This window comes from Homo sapiens, chromosome 1 (assembly GCF_000001405.40).
Source record: "Homo sapiens chromosome 1, GRCh38.p14 Primary Assembly".
Lineage (NCBI taxonomy): Eukaryota > Metazoa > Chordata > Mammalia > Primates > Hominidae > Homo > Homo sapiens.
In genome coordinates this window covers 189,594,359-189,620,693 of record NC_000001.11, presented here as the reverse complement: position 1 = coordinate 189,620,693, position 26,335 = coordinate 189,594,359, and the positions used below count along the sequence as shown (strand labels likewise).

At 33.3% G+C, this 26,335-nt stretch overlaps 1 long non-coding RNA gene across 1 annotated transcript in view; it reads right to left on the bottom strand.

The window, feature by feature from the left end:
* Window positions 1–17,113: 17,113 nt before the first annotated feature.
* LOC105371657 (uncharacterized) overlaps window positions 17,114–26,335 on the bottom strand; it is a 453,818-nt gene continuing 444,596 nt past the window's right edge. Inside the window, exon 5 of the long non-coding RNA XR_002958413.2 lies at window positions 17,114–17,211. This is a non-coding gene — a long non-coding RNA (uncharacterized LOC105371657). The remainder of the gene's footprint in view (window positions 17,212–26,335) is intronic.

The following is a 26,335-nucleotide window of genomic DNA, read 5'->3' as shown; positions in this document are numbered from 1 at the left end:
AACAAGTAAAACAGGAATACACAGTTTTTCAAATTTTATTGGCAATAAACAGCCCTTCTTTACCTTCAGAGTTAGTAATGATGCGTCTATGATGGATTTTTAAAAACTGTATATGCTAACAACATTTCTGCTAAGAGAATTATGGTTCTTAACATAAGATAGGGCAAATCCCAGTTCAAAGAAAGCACTGTGTGTGTATGGAAAGCAAACAGCAGACTGGAACAGATACGCATTTGATAAGCAAAATAAAGTGTTTTCTGTATAAAATGTTCATACAGATAAATATTTGTGTGTGTTTGCATCATTTAAACTGACATTAGCACATTATAATTATCTTTTTATTTTGAAATTTTAAGTTGCCTAATGAAGGTAGCCCAATCACATTGGCTGTTTTAATTGGTCAATTCAATATTATATCATTATCTATACAAGAGGCCCACCTTTCTTCTCTTTCTCCTTTGATTTGTGAGTGATAGATAATTTCGCACAGGTTCTATGTATCATCCCAACATGTAAGAGGCCTTTAAACTTTCCTTTGCCCTTTCTGCCATCTGCTGTTAAATAGCTGGGCTGCCTCATGTCAGTTGTCCTGGGGTGGGGGTTCTTTAGTGCTGCTTCTGGTCATCAGATTCACAATATGTCTTATATTCCCAAAGTCAGACTTCTTCTCAGACTACTTGAAAACTATGTCCCTTTCTTAAGATCAATACTTTCATCCAAACTTCGAGTTCTCTAGGGTTTTCAATTTCCTTCTTTGTGTTATGCATATTATTTAGGATGCCCAGAATCCTGGAAGGCTGCCATATTGTGAGTGAATCATTTGCTTTGACTGCATGGACGACATGAGTCATGGAGGATAACTTGTGGTTTGCTCAAGGTAACAAAACAAAAGGTATTATTTTACAAATACAAAAACAGTCTTAAATCAATCCTGTAAGGTGTGTGGAACTGAAAGCTATAGACTAGAATATTTTTAAATATTCTGAAATCTCTTCATACTACTCTCTAGCTGAGTATCAGTTCTGTCTTTGTTCTAGATTATTTATCCACAATATAATCAAATCACTCTGTATTACAACCTGTTTTCATCATAAGCCTCATATCATATGTGTTTTGTTTAAAATATTATTTATTAGATGGATTTTATTATATATGATAGATTTTATCATACTCAAGTAATTCATACTAAAGCATTTGAGTGTGTTTCAATTTGTAAATAATATTAGAAATAAGTGGAGCAACCAGCTAGAAACTTAAATATATACATACATATATTCATATACATTTCTGATAAAATGTGTAAAAATTTAGGAAACTTTATAGTAAGGAAACAACTGGATCAAGAAGTTTTGAGTCATTTTAAAAATGCAATTAAAATGGCTTCTAGAAATACTGCATATTTTTATATATCTAAATGATGTGTATATTAATAACAATTTTCTACTCTCCATACTATTGTAGGTATAAGTAGATGTGTAAGTTGCAATTTAATAAGAAAAATAGCAATATAATAATTCATTACTATGTCAAACTAAAGCTAATGTTTATGTCTTTTGGTGTGATAGTGAATTAAGTTCATAAAGAGTTTCATTATAGTTTCTCAAATATTTTATTGACATTGTTTTGTTTGTATCTGATATTGTTTCACAAACATATTTATGTGCTATAATTTATATCTAAGAATATTAACTATTTTTATATGGTGCATACATTTTTTCAGTTTATATTTTTCAGGCAAAACATTTTTTGCTACATATAAATTTTATTTTCCACTATGGTTTCAATATTACTATTTTAAATTTATTTTTTATTTTATTTTACTTTAAGTTTTGGGATTCATGTGCTGAACGTCCAGGTTTGTTACACAGATATACATGTGCCCTTGTGATTTGCTGCACCTATCAACCCATTATCTAGGTTTTAAGCCCCGCATGCATTAGGTATTTGTCCTAATGCTCTTCCTCCCCTTTCCCCTCACCCCCCAACAGGCTCCAGTGTGTGATATTCCTCTCCTTGTGTTCATGTATTCTCATTTTTCAACTCCCACTTATGAGTGAGAACATGCTGTGTTTGGTTTTCTGTCCCTGTGTTAGTTTGCTGTGGGTGATGATTTCCAGCTTCATCCATGTCCCTGCAAAGGACACAATCTCATTCTTTTTTATGGCTGCATAGTATTCCATGGTGTATATATGCCACATTTTCAAGACTTCATGACTGAAACACCAAAAGCAATTGCAACAAAAGCCAAAATTGGCAAATGAGTCTAATTAAACTAAAGAGCTTCTGCTCAGCAAAATAAACTATCATCACAGTGAACAGGCAACCTACAGGTTGGGAGACAATTTTTGCTGTCTATCCATCTCAAGAGGTCTAATATCCAGAATCTACAAGGAACTTAAGCAAATTTATAAGAAAAAAACAACTCCATCAAAAAGTGGGCAAAGGATATAAAAGACACTTCTCAAAAGAAGACATTTGTGCGGCCAACAAACATATGAAAAAAAGCTCATCATCACTGGTCATTAGTGAAATGCAAATCAAAACCACAATGAGATACCATCTCACGCCAGTTAGAATGGCGATCATTGAAAAAGTCAGGAAACAATAGATGCTGGTGAGGATGTGGAGAAATCGGTATTCATTTTTACATTTGTTTGACCCATATTAGATAAATATCTTTTTCTTTATAGGCTTTAATGGAGTTGTAGTTGGATATAATTATGTTTTCTAAATAGAAAATTTATTTTGTTTAATTAATTAAACTTTTTTTCAACTTTTATTTTAGGTTCGGGGGTATAAGTGCGCATTTGTTACATGGGTAAATTGCGTTATCACTGAGGTTTAGTGTAAGAATGATCCCGTCACCCAGGTAGTGAGCAAAATACCCAATAGGTAGTTTTTCAATCCTACCCCCAACCACACTCCCTCTCTAGCAGTCCCCAGTGCCCAGTGTCTGTTGTTCCCATCTTTATTTCCATGTGTACTCAATGTTTAGCTCCCACTAATAGGTAAGAAGATTCAGTATTTGGTTTTCTGTTTCTGTATTAATTTGCTTATGATAATGGCATCCAGCTGAATCCATGTTGTCAAAAACATATGATTTTGTTCTTTTTTATGGCTGCATAGATAAATATTTAATAATGTTTTTCTAGTACTTTTGTGTGTTGTAATGGTATATTTTTAAAAATATTTTAACATATTTGATGCATTAAAAAGGATATGCATAAACATATTACTTTATAATTCTTAATGATAATAAATTAAAACCTCAGTAACATACTGTCTGACTCTAGATCTCCTATCTGTCTGTCTATCTATGTTATGGACTGAATGCTTTTGTCCCCCCAGAATTGGTATTTTGGATTCCTAACCTCATGTAATGGTATTAGGAAGTAGAAACTTTGGGAGGTGATTGTGTCATGAAGGTGGAGCCTGCATGAATAAAATTAATGCCCTTATAAAGAGACACCCTAGAGAGTTTTAGCTCTCTTTCTACGACGTGAGGATACAGCAAGAAGGCAGCAGTCTGCAATCCAGAAGAAGAACATCACCAAAGCACAACTATGCTGGCTGGCAGCACAACTATGCTGGCTGCAATCCAGAAGAAGAGCATCACCAAAGCACAACTATACTGGCTGGCATGACTCAGATGTCATGCCTACAGAACTGTGAGAAATAAACTTCTGTTATCTGAAAGCCACCCAGTCTATGGTTCTTTGTTATAGCACCCTGAACTAGCATTCTATCCCTCTGTCTCTATCAATCTATCGATCGATCAATCGATCTATTTATCTATCATAATTATCTATCCATCCAGATATGTATGCCTTAACAATGTATGATGTAGTTTGATCACTCTTTCTACAGTATTCTGTTGGCTGTTCTAGACCTTCTCCATTTCCATATGAACTTTATAATCAGCTTATCAGTATCTACAAAATAACTTGCGAGATTGTGATTGGAATTGAGAGGAATTTATAAAACAAGTTAAGAAGAATTTGCATCTTAATAATATTGAATTTTTAAATCCATAAACACTAAATATCTCCAATTACTTAGATCTTCTTTGATGTTATTCTTCAGTTTTAAAGTTCCCTGCATTTAGATCTTGTATATATTGTGCTATACTTATAACTATGTATTACATTTTTGTGTATTATTTTAAATCATTTTTCATTTCCAATTCCAATTGTTTATTGATGGTATGTAGGAAAGCAATTGACTTCTGAATGTTATTTTCGTATGCTGAGAACTTGCCATACTTGTTTATTAACACTAGAAGATTTTTATTCAAAAATGATTCTCTACATAAGCAATCATGTCACATGAACAAATACAGGTTTATTTCTTCTTTCCCAAACTGTACAGATTAATTTCTTTTACTCACCTTAATGCACTAGCTAGAAATTACAGTACAATGTTGCAGGTGGTGGGAAGAGAGGAGACTTTTGCATTATTCATGATCTTAAGAAGAAAATATCTAGTTTCTCACCATTATGTTTGATGTTTGCTGCAAGTTTTGCTATAGGATTTTTATAGGTACTCTTTGTAAAGTTCAAAAACTTCTCTCTATTTCTACTTTGCTGTTGATGTAGCAGATTACATTGACTGATTTTTGAATTTGGATCCAACCCTACATACTTTAATAAGTTCCACTAGGTCATGTTGTATAATTTATTGTTGGACTCAATGTGCCAGTAGTTTATTATGGATTTTTGCATCTATGTTCATGAGGAAAACCAGTCTGTAGTTTTTCTCAATGTCTTTGTTGGGTTTTAGCTTTAGGGCAACTGTGTTCTTAGAGAATAAATTGAGAAGTGTTCAGTCTGCTTCAAGTTTTTGGAAGAGCTTCTGAAAAATTAGTATTATTTCTTGCTTAAATGGTTAGTATAACTTATCAGTAGAAACATCATTTTGACCAGGTGTTTTCTTTTTGGGAAGGTTATGAATTATTAATTCAATTATTTAGTAGACATAAGATTATTTAGATTATCTATTTCTAATTGTATCATTTTGGTAGTTTGTGTATTTTAAAAAATTGATCCTTAAATTAATCTATGTCATCAAATCTGTGGCCGTGGTGTGTTGTTCATAGTAATCCTGTATTACACATTAAAGTTCCATGAGATAAGTGGAGATTGGGGAGTTGGGACCCAGGTTAAAATCTTGTGTTTAATCCTTCAAGGCTGACCACAGGCAATTACAAGGGCTTTCCCTGGCAAGCCTCATGGAGTAGCTGCCCTTCCCACAACAGATTTGGTACACAGTCAATGTGTCCCCATTTTTTAGAAAGAATTATAATAAAAAACAAAACAAAAAAAAACTCAGTCCCCTCAACCATTTTAACACTTCTTCCCCTATTTCAGCCATGTTCATACACATATCTGCATTACTGGCACTGAAGCTGTTCCTACTGAGACCAGGCTGAAGAACTTTCAGGTAGTTTCTGCCAAGATTCATTTTTGATAGGCATATTTACTGAATCGTGAATTCTAATTTACAGTCACTTTTTGTAATAGTTTGATGATAACATCCCATTCATGTTCTGGTTTCTCTTTAGAGATAAGATCTCTAATGTAAGTCTCATGTCGTTATTTACTGGAAGATTTCATACTCTCTCTGGTGACTTTTCAGTTTTTTAATATAGAACAGACCATTGATATCTTCCCTCCCCTTTCTGGTAAAAAGCACACAGGTAATGGTCCTGTTTCCAAGAACTGTTTTATGAGCTATATCTATAGCACTTAAAAACACACATATTTTTATATTTATCATATATATGCACAAATACATTATATATACTTTATATATATATAAAATTACATTATATATGTGTGTATATATATATGTTGGTGGTGGTTGTTGTTAAGAGAGTCTAGTGTGCAATTTAGAGCTCAATTTATAAACTTTTGTATTTTTCTTTCCACTATGTGGAAGAAACAGCCATTCAAATGAAAGCAGACTCCTAACTATCCATTATACAGAATCCCTACCTAAGGAAATACCTAGCTTTAAAAGAGCCTTACTTATAAAAGCAACTCCCATGCAGTCTTTTTGACTTAACATGTCTGGGTGAACCAGAATCAAAAGGCATACTAAAAGAACAAGTTACATGACAAAGATAACACACACATACACACACACACACACACACACAATTTGACCAAAATATGTTTGAAGAACTTAGTAAAATTTGAATTTGTATTCCCATGATTTTAAGATAATTTTTTCTCCACAAATCAAGAAAATGCAATTTATTTATAACAAACATTTTAAGTAAAAAGAAGTAGTCATAGAGAACAAAAATATGTTGTAAAAATAATATGACATTAATTTTGGCTTTTTGGCTCATGTTCTTAAACAGGCAAAACTCGTTGCCAAAGATGTAGCTAAAAATAGAGGAAAGCAAATATTATGTAAATAAAATTATTTGTTTAATTGAAAGTAGTCTTTCTACTATTTTCTCATATTCAATAATATTAAATTTGAAATAAAGTTATCTTCTAAATATGCAGAACTGCAATTTTATGGGGCAGTACTAAAACAACTTTTTTTTTCTTTAGTGAACTTGAAGCTTGAAATTAAAGTCCAATTCTAATTTTTATTATTGTGATATGATTTACTAATGCAGTGAAACTTAGTGCAGTATGAATGAGGCCTTAAAAATGACATATTATTATCAGAGTATAAATGAAGAATTGAAACACTGCAAGGTTGTTCAATCACAATAAATCGTCAAATTATCTACTGCCTCAGAAGCAAATTTATCTTTGCCATGCAGAACCTTAAATTTCTAAGACTTTGTAAGTGGATGAATTGAGTAATAATAAAATATAACATATAATTGCCTTTGTATTTAACAATTGTTGTATGAGTTATAAGAAATGTCAGATTGGTTTTCATTATTAAGAATTAATAACTTGTAGTTACAATATAAATAATTACAATAACCAAAAGCTATAAGTATTTCCTAGGTGACAGGCAGTATGCTCAGGTTTTCACATGCAGCATACCTATAGGTAGATATTAGTTTACTCATTTTACAGATGAATAGACTCAGTCTCAGAGAGGAAAATTAAGTTGCACAAAGTAACGGGGCCAAAATTAGAGACTAGGTCTGTATAAATTAAAAATACTTTCTTTAAACTTACTCTTTTTTAAATTGTTTTATTTTATTTGAGATGGAGTCTTGCCTTGTCGCCCAGGATGGAGTGCGGTGGCGCAATCTTGGCTTACTGCAACCTCCACCTCCAGGGTTCAAGTGATTCTCCTGCCTCAGCCTCCCGAGTACCTGGGATTACAGGCATGCACTACCATGCCCAGCTAAATTTAATAGAGACAGGGTATCACCATGTTGGCCAGTCTGGTCTGGAACTCCTGACCTCGTGATCCACCTGCATCGGCCTCCCAAAGTACTGGGATTACAGGCATGAGCCACCATGTCCGGCTATATAATTTAATATAACATTATTATATTATATTATATTTGCCATATAATTTTTGCATACTGCTATTTAATTAGTGTAAGTTACTTAAAAACAAGGATTTTGACTTCTATTTCCTTTATCTGGAACAACTAGTCCAGTGGTCTTCACAAAACATCAGTGAAGGATTTTCAAAGGAATGAGTAATTATCAAAAATTAAATAGGATTAAGCCATAATAAATGTCTTAATATAAGCCAAATAATATTTGCTACTCTCTACATTTAAAAAATAGATAACTTCTAAAAGAAAAATATTTTCTTGTAAACTCATTGTAAAAACTAATGCAAATAATCTTTTTATGATAAACCTAAAATTTAAATGCCAATATTCTACATGTCCTAGTTATTTCCAGACTGAGAATATTTCATGGATTCAGCAAAAAACTCCTTTGAAGTAAATTGGAAGGATCTAAACAGTAATTTTTTACTGTTTCTCTCTTTTTTTTAAGTGATATCTTGTTTTTCTATGCTAGCTGAATGTCTTTCACAAGCTTAATAGATGGAATAAATGCCACATTGAATCTAGTGAAAGAGAATATAATTATAACTTCTCAGGATCTTATAAAAGATAAATTAAATTTAGTGTGAGTTCATTATCCTTAGAAGGATTTTTTCTTAAATAGTTTTAATATTTTGACATTTTGTTTTCTAGAAATGTGTCTTTAGTTATAATAGCTTAGTACATTAAATGTCCATATTTTCTCACAAGTATATTTTGTGTCTGAAACATTGCCTATAGACAGTGCAACCAGATAATAAGCAATTACGGTTTTGGAGCTGGAATACAATTCCTGTTTCAATGCTTAGTATCTGTTCATCTTGGCATAAATTACATAAAATCTCTATTCTTTCTTTTATATGATTAAACAAATTAAAATGATACCACTTCATCGGGTTGTTTTGAGGGTTAAATGTGTTAATATTTTAAAGCACTTAAAACATGCATAATAATAAGCACTCAAAAATATTAACTATCATTACTGGCCTTCCTTCTTTACTTAGTTTTACAAATTTAGAGTAAGATGGTCAAACATTTTATATATCTATGATCTACTATCGTTGTATTGTTATTGTCAAATTAAATGTAGTTTAATTACCATAATAACTATGAGACTCACACTCTCTGATATGAGTAAATGCATGGAAGAAATTGGATCAAGTGGTTTAAAGAAGCCAACATTCAGTTTTGAGTTTCAATTACTTGCAGTTAATTAAAAAGATATACTTTAATAAGCTATATAAATATGAAAGCACTGAGCAAAAGAAATCAAAAGCTTGGCCAGACATAGTAGCTCAGGCCTTGAATCTCAGCACTTTGGGAGGCCAAGGTGGGAGGAATGCTTGAGCCAGGAGTTTGAGATCAGCCTGGGCAACATAGTGAGACTTCATCTCTACTAAAAATAAAGAAAGTTAGCCAGCTGTAGTGGTGTGTGCCTTAGTCCCAGCTACTCAGGAGGCCAAGGCAAGAGGATAGGATAGCTTGAGCCTGAAAGTTCAAGATTACAGTGAGCTATGATCATGCCACTGCACTCCAGCCTGTCTCAAAGAAAAAAAAAAGAGAGAGGGACAGAGAGAAGAACTCAAAAGCAGTGTCTAGTTTGTCCTAATGCTATAGATTTGCATTCTATAACCACAAAGCTCTTCACAAATTCACATATGAGAATGTGGCAAACTACTAGGATCTAAATATTTTCTAAGGAAACAATGATTATTAATAACATCTTATCCTTTTAGTGAATTATGAAATAAAGATGCTCCTCCATCATTATATATCCATGTATTGCAATAAGTATTTTTTAATGCAACTTATGTAATTACATATGCTTTAATTTTATATATAAAACTCACAACAGTATCAACATGTTTGAAAAAATAATAACTATAATCAGTATAACTGTCATTTATAATTGATTGCTTCTTATATCAGTTGAATTTGGTCTTTGCTAGCTAATTTACTAACAAATGGAGCAAAATCACCATTAGCATGAAAAATTCATATAGATGCACTGTACACACAGTATCGAATCTCAAACATGGCAAATTCCTCGGATAGCAAAACTACTAGTTGTTCTCATTCTATCATGTGAAATAGTTCAACAGAAACAACTTATTTCTCTATATTTTAGTTGATGTTGTATAAAAAAATGCAAAGTAATTGTATCTTAGTATTTGAATCTAAAATTTGTGTTTCACAACTTTAGAATAGACATGCCACTATATGCAGGTTATAATCTAAGGCTGATAACACATTATTCTCTATAGAAACAAATTCTCTTTTATACTTACCTGTTTATTATTATTGGTCAGAAAATTTTACTAATGGTATTTTCCCCAATGAATGTATAATTTATACTGAAATGCTATTTAAATATTTTTATTGTGTTTTCCAATGGAGCACTTAAAATTATTTTTCATTTATTATTACAGTCTATTGGTGGTACTTGGTGGATTAAAATAGTCTCATAAAATATGCCTTGGAACTAATAAAGATTTTTTTAAAGCAGCCTCTGTCACATAAATAAATGCAAATAATAAAAGTTGCTAGCATGGAAAGCTTGCTAAAGATCACCTCATTTTAGGTTTTATTAACATCGCAATGGAGATGTATGTATGTTAGAAACCAATGTAAGCGAAGTCATTATTCTTCAAATACAAGACTTTTTAGTAATATTTATGGTCATAATAAGCACATTGTTTTCAGAGAAATGAATTTTATAGGTTAGAAAACATCACTATAAAAGTATTTCCCCATTAAGATGGACAACTAATAAGACATAAAGTTTACTAGATCCATACTGACAGAACATATAGATAAAAGTAGTAACTAATCATATTAGAAATTTTCTTGAATTTCAATCAAGGTGACTGAGTTCATTAAATTATCACTTTTGATAATAAACATAGTATTTCTACTGTAGCATTGTCTATTCTTCATGAATTTATATATATTATATATATATATATATATATATATATAATCACATATTACATTGGCTTCTTTTGCTAATCAATTACAGTCATGTGCCCTGTAATGACATTTCAATCAATGAGGGACTGCATTTACAATGGTAATCTCATAAGACTGTAATACCATATTTTTATTGTACCTTTTGTATATTTAGATATGTTTAGTTACACAGATACTATTATGTTACAATTGCCTACAGTTTTCAGTACAATAACATGCTGTACAGTTTTGTAGCCTAGGAGCAACAGGCTAAACAATATAGCCTAGGTGTGTAGTAGGCCATACCTTCTAGGTTTGTGCTTTAACAAAGAGGAGAACACATTTAAGTAAATATGTATAGGTAATGTGCAAGTATGTATAGAAAATGTCTCAGAAAACATCCCAGAATATAATCTTGAAAGTTCTTCCTGGATTTCCTATCGAATTTCAGCGCTCTTAAATGTACATGGGAAACATCTGTTCCTTGCCTCCCTTTTAAAATATTTGTTATGCAATTGTTTTTTACAATTAGAAATAATGTTTGAGACTGGAGAACTAGATTAGAGAGAAAACATTGAGTAAGTTTTAATGCACACTACTCTGATCACTAGAAACAGCTATTCAAATGGAATTCAGGCACTGATATAGATTTAACAACAAATATAAACATAAATACAAATACTGTGTATGGTTAAAACCATGAGTGATGTTTCTGGGTATTTTATTACCTCAAACTTTCAAGTCATTAGATAGATATTCTTTCAGAAAAATATATCATTCATATGTTCATGATAATGATTAATGTGACACTGTGAAAGATGGGTGATTCGTGGGTGCATCAACTAGTGTGATCATGAAGTTTATGTGTCATCTTCACTGGACAATGAGGTGACCAGATTAAATACTATTTCTGAGTGTCTTTGTGAGGGTGTTTCTGGATGACATTAGCAATTGAATCAAAGGACTCAGTGATGTAAATTACTTTCCCCATTCTGGGTAGATATCCTCTAATTCGTTGAGAGCCTGAAGAGAATAAAAGGCAGAGAAATAAATAATTCACCTTTTTTTTTCTGCCTCACAATTTGAGCTGGAGCATTTCATCTCATCTTTTCCTACTCTGAGACTGAAATTGATATTATCTGTTCCCCTGGTATTCTGGCCTTAAACCTTGGATTGAATTACGGTCCAGAATTTCTGGGTCTCCAGTTTGCAGCTGGCAGAATATGGGACTTTTCATCTTCCATAATTATATGAGCTAATTATTCATAATAACTCTAAATCTTTTTCTCTCTTTCTCAAATTCTCTCTCTCTCTCTCTCTCTCTCTTTCTCTGGAGAGAATTGACTATGACAAACTAGTGACAAAAATAAAATTTTGGCTGTTTTTCCTTGAAATGTACAAGAAATTTGAACCAATATCATTACCCATCACGCTTATGTCATAAACCCAGTGTGTTACGGAAGGTGGGTTGGTAAACTGATGAGTAGTTACTTCCAGACTACATACCATTAAAATGATTTTATTTTTTTGTTTGGCTTTGTCATGTAAAAAAATGTAAAAACTAATATTTTTATAATATCCTTATGCTTATGTGGAAACGTCACTAGAATTATCTTAGATACAAAGGGAAGACTTTAAAACTAGGTGTTATAAAATTCAAAGAGCATTTTGAGAGAATCAGTTTATCCTATTTTGAGACCAGTGTAACTTATGAGGATATTATTAAGGATGGGGAGATCATGACTTATTCTTCATTATATTGCAATCACATTTTTTGAAATGTTAATTTACATTTTCCTTTTATGATAACTGTACTAGTTATATACTGCTGCTTAACAAAGTATCCCAAATTTAAGTTACTTAAAATAACAAAATTGATTAAAATTCCTGTATCCAGGAATCTGGGCAAAGATTAGCTGAATCCTCTCTCCAGCATCTCTCACAGGATGCAAGCACAGTATCCACCAAGGCTGTGGTCTCATCTGAACGTTTAAGTGGGAAATGGTCTGCTTCCAAGCTCACTTATATCATTGTTGGCAGAATTCAATTTATTGAATGCTTTTGGACTGTTGGCCTTATTTTCTCACTGAACATTTGCTGCCTTCAGTTACTTGCCATGAGACCCTCTCTGTAGAACAGTCCACAACATGACAACTTGCTTTATCAGATAAAGCACCCAAGAGCCACAGAGAGAGAAAGGGTACAAGCAATATAGAAGTTAGTCTTTTGTAATCTAGTCTCAAATGTGACATCCCATCATTTTTGCAATATTCTACTTTTTAGGAAGACATCACTAGGTGAAGTCCATATTCATTGGGAGGATATTACACATGGGCTAGAATGTCAGGAAGCAGAGATCACTGGAAACCAGGTTAGGAAACTGCCTATCACCAAGCTGTTCTTAGGAACAAACGAATAAACAAAAATTGTGTTATTGAAATAAACTCAAACTTCTTTATTTGGTTAGTCTTTTTTTTCCCACTTACCTATTACTAATTCATACTAGAACATTTCAATGTTATTTTGATTTATATGCTGAGAGTATTTTCTTAAGATTTCCTAAACTACACATTTCTTTTCTATATTGCAGCCTTTACTGAGTGAGAGTTTGCAGTGGTATGCTGGTTAATGTTTAACAGTAAACCTTGAAAAAATGTTTGAGTTTATTATATTTTTACTGATATGATATAGGACACAGTTTACAAATAATAATAAAAATACAATACTCTATTGCAATTCCATGTAGCCAATTGATTTTTACAGAACATTTTTATTGATTTTTGCTGACCTCTTGTATCTGAGGCAAACTTATGTTTGCAATTTAACTGTGATTTAACAAAATCAGACTACAAATAGATGCTGAATCACTATCCAGTTCAGCATTCATCCACATCATTGATGAGAGCACATTTTTTCGACATGAATGTTAGTTGATAATTTTATTTGTTTAACAAGTAAGATGAGAGTAAAACCACAAAAAGGCATTTTGGCAATTCACTCATTTGTCAAGAATATGGATGAGTTCTTTGCTGAATCAGATGATAATGTTTGACTACTAGAAGAATATGTTTTCATTTTTGTTGTGTGTGTGTGTGTGTGTGTGTGTGTGTGTGCACTAGTCACAATGTAATGACTACAAACCTGGCAGCTTTTTAAGTTTAATTTGCATTATTAACATTTTCACATCACTTTCTTAAGTCTAAGCATCAACAAAACAATGAATCAAATTTTTGTTTCCAGCATTTGTCAAATTCTATGATGTAAATATAGTCCCATCATGAGTAATTTCAATCTACCAACATGATGTCACCTAACACAAAACAGAGAAGAGATGTGCAGGAACACATGATTATTTAGTATTTTACCCTCCAGACATAATGAGCACAAATAACTTTAAAAACATAGATCATAGTTAACATAGTAAACTTATGAGAAAATGACAAATATTGAGTATTTGCCACCTTCGTTTTTAATAATGTGTAATTGCACATTCATAAGATTTCGTTTTAAAACGTGATTGTATTTAAAAACATACCCATGAAATCTATGAAAACTTAATAATTGACTTGCATAAGCCAGCACAAGCCAGCTCTAATACACATGGGTTATTTACATCATTTTTTCTCTTAATATTTAAGTTCCAAAAAAGGCTGCTTTGCTTTTTGCTTACAATTTTTTTCTACTAAAAAAGTAGTAAATTGATAGTTAATGATTTTATGAAGAATCATAATTTATAGTTGTATTTTTATGTAGCATAATTTCAACAAAATAGATGAAAATAAATGTTTGCTACACCTATTCTTAGGCAGTGGTCATGAAAGTATGAAGAAAGTAGAGGTTAAGGAAACTTACTAGCTCTGTTTAGGCTCGAATGATCCAGTTTCCTCGTTTATAAAATGAAGAGAAACAATATTCATCACATTGAGTGTTAATAGAGCTAAATGAGTTAAGGTAGTCAAGTATTAATGGTGAAATTGTAGATCAGGAACCAGTAAAGCAGGCAATGCCTCAAGCAGTATGACCTAATGAGAATTCGAGAGGATCTTATGTTATGAGAAGGAACGTTCTGTTTTTCAGATATGACCCTTACTAGCTTGATACTTACCATACTCAGGATTGAGCCATGTGCTAGAGTTGGCATATAAATTATTCTACCTGAATTACTGAGTATGATGTACCGATGCAGCAGTGGTACCTCACATGAAGAAGACGGAATTGTATTTCATTTCAATTTAAAACATTTGGGAGAAACATTTTCTTCAATGTAGAGAAATAGGCTTCATAAATATTCATAGAATTTAACATTCTGTCCCCAAAGCAAAATAATTCTGCCGTGACAAAATAAGCAATCTGTTTCTATATTGCAATGGCAATATATATCTATATCTTGAAATATATTGCCTATGTAATTCAAAATATACAGCTATAGTAAATCAGCTCTAATTCCAAATGTATTTGAAGTAAACTTCAACTTGTCATTGCTAAAACATTCTGTAAACATCAAATAAAAAAATAACTATAAAATTTACATGCTATCATTTTCCATGTTGCAGAGTAAAACTTACTTTAAGTGCTTACTTTGTATTAAGAAAAATAAAGGCAGTTTCAGCAAAGCTATACTTTGAAATCTATATCACCATATCTTCAAAGATTAGGGACCTCATCAAAACTTGTTTTAGCACCTTCGAATGAATTTCTTCTAGTCAATGTTTAATTATCAAGTTTTTAATTTTCCACTTTTTGTTCTTTGTACATAAGGCAGAATGCTATGGTAAACGTAGGTAAGCATGGCATTAAGTTCCACTGCAAATTTGTAATATTAGTCACCAAAAATCAATGACTTAAAGAGTGAGTCAATAAAAATTTATGACCAGTCTTAGAATAGCAACTTGAAGGATATATTTTACTCTCAGTTAACACCACAGTTATCATATAATTAACACAGCATATTATGTCAAAAACAGGGAAAAAGATTATGACAGCCCAGTTCAAGGTGAGCTTTTAGTACCTGATTGCAAATCCATAGTTAATAGCCTATCACCAGCTCTGTGGAGCCAAGGAATCCTATCCAACAATTCCAGAAGGGCAGAGAGTATAATAACTTACCTCTTACTTCTCTGGCATTGGAAAAGCACTTGACTTCTTTGTGCCTTCATTTCCTTATCTGTAAGAGAGAGATATTGAAATAGTTTAACTTAAGGAGTTATGAAGGTTAAATAAATTAGTATAAGTAAAGCACTTAGAACAATGCCTGACATTGAAATTAGTCAATAAACATTACTTATATTGTTTGCTTGTATATAAGACAGTATAGTCAGTAACATTCTGTATCACTCTTATTCAAGAACTGAAACAGAACAAAACATGAAGTCTTTCAACTTTAAAATATAATCCCTTTTATTTGCAAGATCAGGATTCTGTTTTAATTCCTTTTAAAAAATAACCAAGGAAAGTTTAAAGATTTCATATGTCAGCATCAAGACCTTTGGGATTACTAGCCTGGCTGTATTAAATTGTAAAAAAATTCATGTTGCAAAAGAAATATGTGTTATACACATTATATGCTAGTTATGTGTTCTACATGTATTCTTTGTATTAAAAATATTAAATAAAGAATACACTACACCTTTTCATTTTAAATTGCTTATTGGAATTTAAATAAATATAAGAACTAATTTCTAAAAGTTATACAGTATGAATACTGGGAAAAGGTATACAGTATGAATAAATGGGAAAAAGGGTGATGAAACAATAGGCTGGGAGATAGAGTTTTCACAGTATCATTCATTCCCACATATACATAGACATAGTCACATATACACTTGTATGCACACACATATTTACATACACATGTTATCTTGTGAATTGCTCTATTGATTTTACATTTTAAAAATTAATAAGCATATGAATAAGCCTGTCTAGTAAAAGCAGACAAACTTGTACATCATAGAAAAATAAATGTGTAACAATATTCAATAAAATATTGACAAAGTTAGTAAGTTAAGGGTGATTTGAGGGCTTCATATGACTATTTGTTCCTTATCTAAATCATTAGGTAAAAGATTGGTGAATTTGTATGTATGACCCCATTTTTTAAGCATTATACAAAAGCTTAAGTAATTTGATTTTTATCTTTTATAATCTATTTTTTCTTTTTCACCAATTTATAAATTATAAATTTTATTACCAATTTATAAAACAGATTGTCTTTCTGAGCAGTAGTATCCTGTTTTTACACTAAGAAAGAAAAATCTGAATACAGAAACATGAGAATTTTAATTAGATTTTCAAAATCATATTTAAGCAGGAGATTACAAACCCCTTTTAATAAATAAGTATCAATTGACACATTTGGGGAATTGTTAACCGTAATTGTCATTTGGGAAACTTCTAATAACTTAAAGTAGAACAAGCCATTTATAATTTTTTTCTTTCCAAAATGAGTATAATTTTTTCTAACAGGTTTTTTAAAATTTAACACAGACTTTGATCACATTTTGCATATTACACAATATTTATAAGTGCCATAATATACTCCCCCATTCCAAAATGGAAGACATTTTGCTAAATATCGCAATATTACAATTTTATTACATCTGGATTGATATCAATGGAACAAATACGATGTGATTCACTTACCTAGCTAAGTGAATAGTTTTAAAGTAGTTTGATATAGTTCCTCCCTTATCACAATTAAAAATTTCCCCTTAGTCATCCTCAAAAGTTGTTCATTTCTTCACCTTCAATTCTAAGGGCTCAGGAGTGTTGAGGCCTCTGGACTGCAAAATAACCATGGAAAATGGGCCATTTACACATAAGAAGAGAGAGGAAGATAAAGTCTTAGAAGCAAAGGTGTGTTGCTTACATCCAGATGCTCAAAGGAGCTGATAGCTCTGTTGGCCTGTGGTGCTTCCTGCAAATAAGACCTACTCCCCAGTATCAAACTGGCTTCCAGTCAGCTCTCTGGAGTTTTCCTCTGTATACTCTCTCTCTCTCTGCTCAGAATGTCGGCATTGTAATTGTTATGATGTCAGAAGTTTAGTCTTTTTATTTTCACTGACGAAGGCATACTGGAGAAGAGAAGATTCCATTGTAACATGATGGAAATGCTTTAGTGAGAACAGTGGATCATGTAGATATGAAAATCAGCTCCAGGAAATGTTTTCCTACTATTTTATATTCTCATGTATTAAGAAACTTCAAAGAGTTTGGGAGGTCAAGGCAGGCAAATCACCTGAGGCCAGGAGTTCGAGGACAGCCTGGCCAACATGGTGAAATGCCATCTCTATTAAAAATACAAAAATTAGACAGACGTGGTGGTGCACGCCTGTAATTCCAGCTACTTGGGAGGCTGAGGCATGCTAATTGCTTGAACACGGGAGGTGGAGGTTGCAGTGAGCCAAGATTGTGCCACTGCACTCCAGCATGGGGGACTGAGTGAGATTCTGCCTCAAAAATAAATAAATAAATAAATAAATAAATAAATAAAAAGTCAAAGAGAATCTGAAAAACAGTTGTATGGTACATGAGCCTAGAATTTAGATTTCAAATGAATATGTTTTCTCCTAATCCCCAGTAAGCAAGAGAAGAAAAAATATATGGAATGGTGTCACACACCTGTAGTTCCAGCTACTCTGGAGGCTGAGGCAGGAGAAGAGAATTGCTTGAGCACAGGAGTTTGAGGCTGCTGTGAGCTATAATCATGCAACTGTACTCCTTCCTGGGGAACACAGGGACTCCTTGTGTCTAAAAAATAAAAAAGATAAAAAAAAAAAAAAGGCGGGAGGGCTCACGCCTATAATCCCAGCACTTTGGGAGGCCAAGGCAGGCAGATCACCTGAGGTCAGGAGTTCGAGACCAGCCTGACCAACATGGTGAAACCCTGTCTCTACTACAAATACAAAAATTAGCCAGGTGTGGTGGTGGGCACCTTTAATCCCAACTACTTGGGAGGTTGAAGGAGGAGAATCACTTGAAGCTAAGAGGCGGAGGTTGCAGTGACCACTGCACTCCAGCCTGGGTGACAGAGAAAAAAATAAAAACTGGAGAGATATTGGAGAAATAAAAATAACAAGATTTTATGAAAGTTTTTAAGTGGAGAGCACAAAAAATAGGTAGGATACACAGTGCTATTCTTCAAGTTAAGGAGAAAATCAGGTTTGGGGAAGCCTTGTGGATTCTGTGATAATCATGTGGAATTTGAACTGTTCGAGACATTATTGAATTGCCCTCAGCAGAAGGGATCTACATCATCCAAAGTTATACCCCTTCCTGAAAATCAACTTGCAAAAATTGATTAGTGGATGGCATCAGGGTCCTCTTATTTTAATTCAGAACATGTCTGAAGCGACATGTCAGCTCCAGAGTTTCACATGGCACATGGGTTGATCCTATTCAGGTTTAGCCAAACCACAGAGTTTCCCTGAAAAAAGCTTTTCAACACTAAAACAGGGAGTGCCATAAGCAAACTAGACTGGTTGGCCTTCTGTAGCAATTGGATTATAGTTGCTTCTCACTCTGCTCTATCCTTTTTTCCTGCACACCCTTTCCTGTTGTTCATGAGAACATTCCCTATTAACCCAATACAACCAAATCTCCATTTCGGAATCTGTTTTCTGGGGAACCCAACCTATGATAGATGTTTGTTTAAAAAAGAACATGTTCTGCAGAGAAAAAACATTCAGTGCTGTAACCAGCCTCAAGGGGTCCAATATTTAATGGATGTAGATAAGATTGCAAGACACCCAGAGCAAATTATCACTTTTTCTTGCTTGTCTTTCTTCTCCATTTATGTATATTGTCTTTAATTTATACACCTGACACTCCAAGTACTTATATTATCCATAAATTTATGTGTGTATGCAGAATGAAGATTTTAGATTAAATCTCTGGAATCTCGCTTTCCATTGGAATATATAATCAAATATTAATAATACATGCAATAGGTTAAAATTAGAATAGGGTTTTGAACAGTTATTTTTTTTTTCTTTTTATATTTGGGTTAAACATTCATCTACTATTTATTAGAATTTGTTACTACTGCTAAATCATTATTCTTTGAGATCAATTTTCTTTTACTCTTTTTTTGGTTGTTATTGTTGCTGCATTGTATTAGTCTCTGCTTAAAACTAGAATTTTTGGCTGGGCGCAGTGGCTCACGCCTGTAATCCCAGCACTTTGGGAGGCCAAGGCAGGCGGATCATGAGGTCAAGAGATCCAGACCATCCTGGCCAACATGGTGAAACGTAGTCTCCACTAAAAATATAAAAATTATCTGGGCATAGTGGTGCTTGCCTGTAATTCCAGCTACTCAGGAGGCTGAAGCAGGAGAATCGCTTGAACCAGGGAGTCAGAAGTTGCAGTGAGCTGAGATCGTGCCACTGCACTCCAGCCTGGTGACAGAGCGAGATTCCATCTTAAAAAAAAAAAAAATAGAATTTTTCCAGTATTGTTCTCATAACCCCTGCTTTTGAAAACAGATCTTTTACTGAAGTGATGGACATTCTGTCATTGTCTTTCTCCAAAACAAAAGGTGTGGTTTAAATCTCCCTACATGGAGTTCTCTAAAACTTTCTCCTTTTGTGTTTTTCTAACATGATTTCAAGATTTAAAATATTTTACATCGGTGATGGTTAATACTGTCAACTTGATTGGACTGAAGGATGCAATATTGATCCTGGGTGTGTCTTCGAGGGTGTTGCCAAAGGAGATTAACATCTGAGTCAGTGGACTGGGGAAGGCAGACCTACCCTTAATCGGTTGGGCACCATCTAATCAGCAGTCAGTGAATATAAAGCAGACAGAAAAATGTGAAGTGAGAGAGAGGCCTAGCCCCCAGCCTGTATCTTTCTCCTCTGCTGGATGCTTCCCGCCCTCAGACATCGGACTTCAAGTTCTTCAGTTTTGGGACTCATACTGGCTCTCCTTGCTCCTCAGCAGACGGCCTATTGTGGGACCTTGTGATTGTGTAAGTTAATACTTATTAACTCCCCTTTATGTATACATATATGAAGAAAGAAGATTTTTAGATTAAATCTCTGGAATCTCACTTTCCAATTGAATATATGAGCAAGTATTAATAATGCATACAATAGGTTAAAATTAGAATAGGGTTTTTTGAACAAAGTTAATATTTTTTCTTTTTATAAATATTCATATTAGATGTATATATATTATTCATCCAATATATATAAGATGTGTATATATATATATTACTGTGTATATATATGTGTATATGTATGTGTGTATATGTATATATATGTATATCCTATTAGTTCCGTTCCTCTAAGAGAACCATGACTAATACGATGTCCATCGAAGTTTTTCAGTTAACTTAAATCTTGAAAATTTAGCCCCGGACCATGGGTTACACCATTAATCCCAGCTGCTTGGGTGGCTAAGGCAGGAGAATTACTTGAGCCTAGGAGTTCTAGGCTGCACAGGTGTATGACGTTCACACTGCATGCACTGCAGCCTGGGCGACAAAGGGAGACCTTGTGTCTAAAAAAAGAAAAACATATATATATATATATCTCGATATGTTAAAACAAATATCAAATTGAAATCATTCTTTACAAACTTGTCAATTTCATACAAAGCCCTATCATCACTGTGAATAACCATAAGAGTTATTTTAAGAAACAGATACTGATCACTTGAGTTTATCAAGTTATGCTCTTGTCTTTTCCCCATCTCTCCCACTCTGTCAAGTGAATTGATAATAAGTATGACATAGACTCTCACACACTAGTCTTTTCATAAACTGGTTTGAAAGCTGTTATATTCATGTGGCAGAACTGCATTTTCAAAAATTGGCCTCAACAGTATCACCCATTCTGCATGATCGTCTACAATGTCAATTTACCACTCCTCCCCCAAAAGCGGTACCCAATCTCCCGTTGCTGAACCTGGGTAAATTTATGAATACTTCAAATAATTAAATATGGCAAAAATGGTGCTATGTTCCTTCCAATGCTAAGTGAGAAAAGCCCAAACTCCTTTTTCCTGGACCTTTTGGACACTTGGAGTGTTTTGGACCAGCTTTGCGCACTTAGATCTTTTTGAGATTTTGGACACAAACTTCACAGGAGAAATTCAACAACTCTGAGACCATTGGGTTGTAAAGTCCATATATAGTAGCTGTTTGTTAGCCAGGATTAACTGCTTTACATCAAGATATTTTGGGGAAGAGGGCACGTGGTATAAGAGAATATTTAACATTTGTTTTATAAAGAATCACAGTGGAAATATTAATTTGTCATTCTTAATTAGCAAAATTCAAAAAATATTCAACATGTACTTATTAATGTGTGAGTTACTGGATAAAATTAAAATTAAACAGCATTAAATATATTAAATAATTTTTAACAACAGGTTTTTAATAATTGGGTATTTCCAGTGTTAAAACATTAAAACATTAGAAAGATACAATTTCTCTCAGTAGAAACACTGTGATAATGACCAGTATCTTGAAGAATAGAATAGCTTCCTTTAAAATATTCAGATATTTTTCAGAAAGAAGTTGCCTAGAATAAGAGCAGTATTTCATATGTGTTATAAGGAATAATAGCAGAAATAATAATTTTGGCAGTCTTAATTATCAATATGAGTCCTAGTATTATTTTGCAATGCTCAATTCTAATCATAAATTTAATGTTTATAAATTAGTGCCTTGTGCTCACTTCCATCTACTTTATACAGATATAGAAACTAAAATATCACTGTTAGAAAAATTATTCATAGTATGGATTTAGATTATTGTGCAAGATAAATTTTACTTAAAAGTAGGACATTTCTGCCTTACTGGGTTATAGTTAAATCTAGATCAAATATAGTAGATTTTCTCAGTACAAATTTTTCTTGGAGTGGCTACATATAACTCTTCAATTAAGAATATTGGATGGATGTCATGTCTATTAAAAACCACAATTTGTGAAATTTATGAGTCAAGTACTTAACTAATTTTGAATGTTATTGTTTATTTGTATATCTTAAAATATACCAAACCAAGGCTTATTTTAACACAATTTCTCTTTTTCAATTTTGTTACAGCATTCCTTTTTTCTCAAAGAAAAAAATTCAGAGATAATTGGTATAATTACACTTAATCTTATTTTAACTTATACCATAAATAGCCATAAACAGAAATATATCTGTGAAGGTCTTATTTTTGCCCGTGTTTACTACTTAAATTCTAACTAATGATTTCTCTGGTACATTAGTACTTACAGCAAGCAAATGTCCTAGACTACTTAAGAATGGGAAAGTAATTAGGATCATAATTAGGATTATTTATTTTAATTGACATTAAACAGGCATCTTCATAGCATCAGGGAGGTTTTAAACCTCATAGAAAAATGTGATAGCCATTTATAACTTAATGTTAGAATTGTGACAAATATTATATTTTATATTATCAAAATTTTGCTTTTTTAATTTTTAATGTTGATATCTTAAATTGAGGCAGAAAATAGAAATTTTTCTGCAATGAAGAAACCAAACATCTCTTGGCATTTTAATCCTGAGGAAACCTCAGTTGTTCAATTAAGTTTCTGCCATAATTGTAAGGGATTAACTGACTTTGTGAATTTTGGAAATATTACTGTCTCTTTTTTCTGTTTGATAAATATATGTAAACGCTGCCAAAGAGAAGTATGGTAGAAACATAGAATAATTATAAGCTGAATTTTCATATTAATATAGAACACGCACTAATAATTGCCTCATATTTGCTTTTCATTAGGAAAAACAAAAAGATTTACTAATTTCAACATACAAATTAATGTCAAGATACAGAATTTTTTGTAAATCTCAATATACATTTTACATTGAGTAACCCAGTCATATTAATTGTGGTAATAGTAATGTGATACATTACTATTAGAAATGAGTAATAGTAATGTGATGCATTACTATTAGAAAGGAGTAATGAGGAAGCTGGGTGGCAAAAAGACACGAAGTCATTTAGAGAAATCCCGGAAGCTCTCCAGCAAAGGCTGGGAAAGTTGCCCAGTGAGCCCTTCACTCACAATAGAGGAAGAATAGGTCAGAGATTGGCAGGTGCCAAGGGAAGGACAACATTGTATTTAAACCACAATATTGACATAATAATTAAGCTTTCCAAATAGGATATTTGTTTGAATACTTCGTATTCAATAATATTGCTACCAAGTACACTTTCAAAATATTTAATACATTCTCTAAAAATGATAAATTTAGAATATTTTCTCACAATGCACTATAAAATTATTCCTTGATTATTTTTGCTACCTAAACTTATATCTAGTATATTTTTTGTGGAAATAAATAAGAATTCATAGGATAATCTCCTTGATCTAATAAGTTTCTCTCTTGCCTGTTTTTTTGCAAATCATGCATGATTTTGTGCTTCCATTTTCAGAGTATATATATTTTCAGCAGCGCTGGTGTGATTAAGAGTTGTATGTATGAGTGGCTGGAGTGGGGTGAAAGTGAGGTAGGAGTGGGAATTAATTATTGTAACTTATATAATTAAGATAGTATCAGAAAATAATTTTGTTGTCCACTTAAATATCTCTTTAGAAACAAACTGTTTCTTCATCTTTATCCATCCAGATAATTGTGATCTGCAAGGTTTATGTCCAATAACACAAAAATTCAATGGCAAATGCTTCTACATTTTGTAAGATTTCTTCATATATGAACACACAGAATAAATAGGCAAATGTTATTAATGATTTGTCCACATATTCTTATAATATGTCTAAAGAAATATGATTCATCCAACATTTTCATTGAGATTAAAATAATTCTTACCCATTGTCTATGATGACTATCAAGATATCTGATTTTAAGAAAATGTGATTTGCTAAGTAAGCATATTAAGAAGGAAAGCTGACTCATATCTAGAACAACCACCACCAAAAGTAAAAAAAAAATAAACAATAGAAACCAACCATATGATAGCCCATATTTTGAAATTAGCATGCAGAGTTATTCACAGTGACACAATATTTAAAAAATAGATAAACAAAAATGTTTGAAATGGAAGATAATGTCAAGTGATATATACACATAAAACCGTATGCTATTTAAACAAAATTTGTCTAGAAACAAAATAAAATGAAACAAACAACATTTGTTTAGAAACAAAATAAAATGAGAATACAGCAACACAAATAGTTGAAGAAATAATAATCTGAACATTCCCACATTAAAAAACATATATATGTGTATTAATCCATTCTCACACTGCTATAAAGAAGTACCTGAAACTGGATAATTTAAGCAGAAAAGAGGTTTAATTGACTCACAGTTCTACAGGCTTAATAGGAAGCCTGACTGGGAGGTCTTAGGAAACTTACAATCATGGCAAAGGTGAAGGAAAAGCAAGAACCTTCTTCACATGGTGCAGGAGAGAGAGTGAAGGAGGAAGTGCCACACACTTTTAAACAACCAAATCTTGTGAGAACTCACTATCATTAGAAGAGCAAGGGGAAAACCCACTCCCCTGATCCAATCACCTCCCACAAGGCCCCTCTTCCAATCTGACATGATCATTTAGGAAGGGACACAAATCTAAACCTTGTCATTCTGCCACTGGCCCCTCCTAAATCTCATGCCCTTCTCACATTGCAAAATGCAATTATTCCTTCTCAACAGTCCCACAGTCTTAACTCATTTCAACATTAACTCAAAAGTCTACATTCCAAAATCTTATCTGAGACAAGGTAAGTCTCTTCCACCTATGAGCCTGTAAAATTAAAACTATTTACTTACTTCCAAGATACAATGGGGTTACAGGCATTGAGTAAATGCTCCCATTCTAAATGGGAGAAATTGGCCAAAACAAAGGGGCTATAGGACCCATGAAAGTCTGAAATCCAGCAGGGAAATTCTTAAATCTTATATCCAGGGCATGCTGATGCAAGAGGTGGGCTCCCAAGGTTTTGGGCAGCTCTGCTTCTGTGGCTCTGCAGGATACCACCCATACCACAGCTTTCGCAGCCTGGTGCAAACTGACTGTGGCTTTTCTAGGCACACAGTGCAAGCTGTTGGTGGATCTACCATTCTGGGGTCTGGAGGACAGTGGCCCTCTTCTCATAGCTCCACTAGGCAATTCCCCAATGGGGACTCTGTGCAGGGGCTCCAACCCCACATTTCCCCTTCACACTGCCCTAATAGGGGTTCTCCATGAGTGCTCTATCCCTGCAGAAGACTTCTGCCTGGACATCCAGCCATCCTCTGAAATCTAAGCAGAGGTTCCCAAACCTAAATTCTTGCCTTCTGGATACCCGCAGGCCCAACATCACATGGAAGCTGCTTGGGGCTTGCAACCTCTGAAGCCATGGCCCTTGCTGTACCTTGCCCCCTTTTAGCCATGGCTGGAGCTGGAGTGGCTGGGACCCACAGCACTGTGTCCCGAGGCTGCACTGAATAGCTGGGCCCTGGTCCTGGCCCACAAAACCATTTTTCCTCCTAAGCCTTTGGGCCTGTAATGGGAGGGGCTGTTGTGAAGGTCTCTGAAATGCCCTGGAAACATTTTTCTCCTTATCTTGGCTATTAACATTCTGCTCCTCTTTACTTATGCAAATTTTTGAAGCAGGCTTGAATTTCTCTTCAGAAAACGGGTTTTGATTTTCTACTACATGGTCAGGCTGCAAATTTTCCAAACTTTTATGTTCTGCTTTTCTTTTAAATATAAGTTCTAGTTTCAGATGAACTCTTTGTTCACACATATGAGCATACACTTTTAGAAACAGCTAGGTTACATCCTGATGCTTTGCTGCTTAGAAATTTCTTCTGCCAGATATCCTAAATTGTCTCTCTCCAGTTCAAAGTTCCAAAGATCTGTAGGCCAGGGGCAGAATGCCACCAGTCTCCTTGCTAAAGCACAGCGAGAGTAACCTTTACACTAGTTCCCAA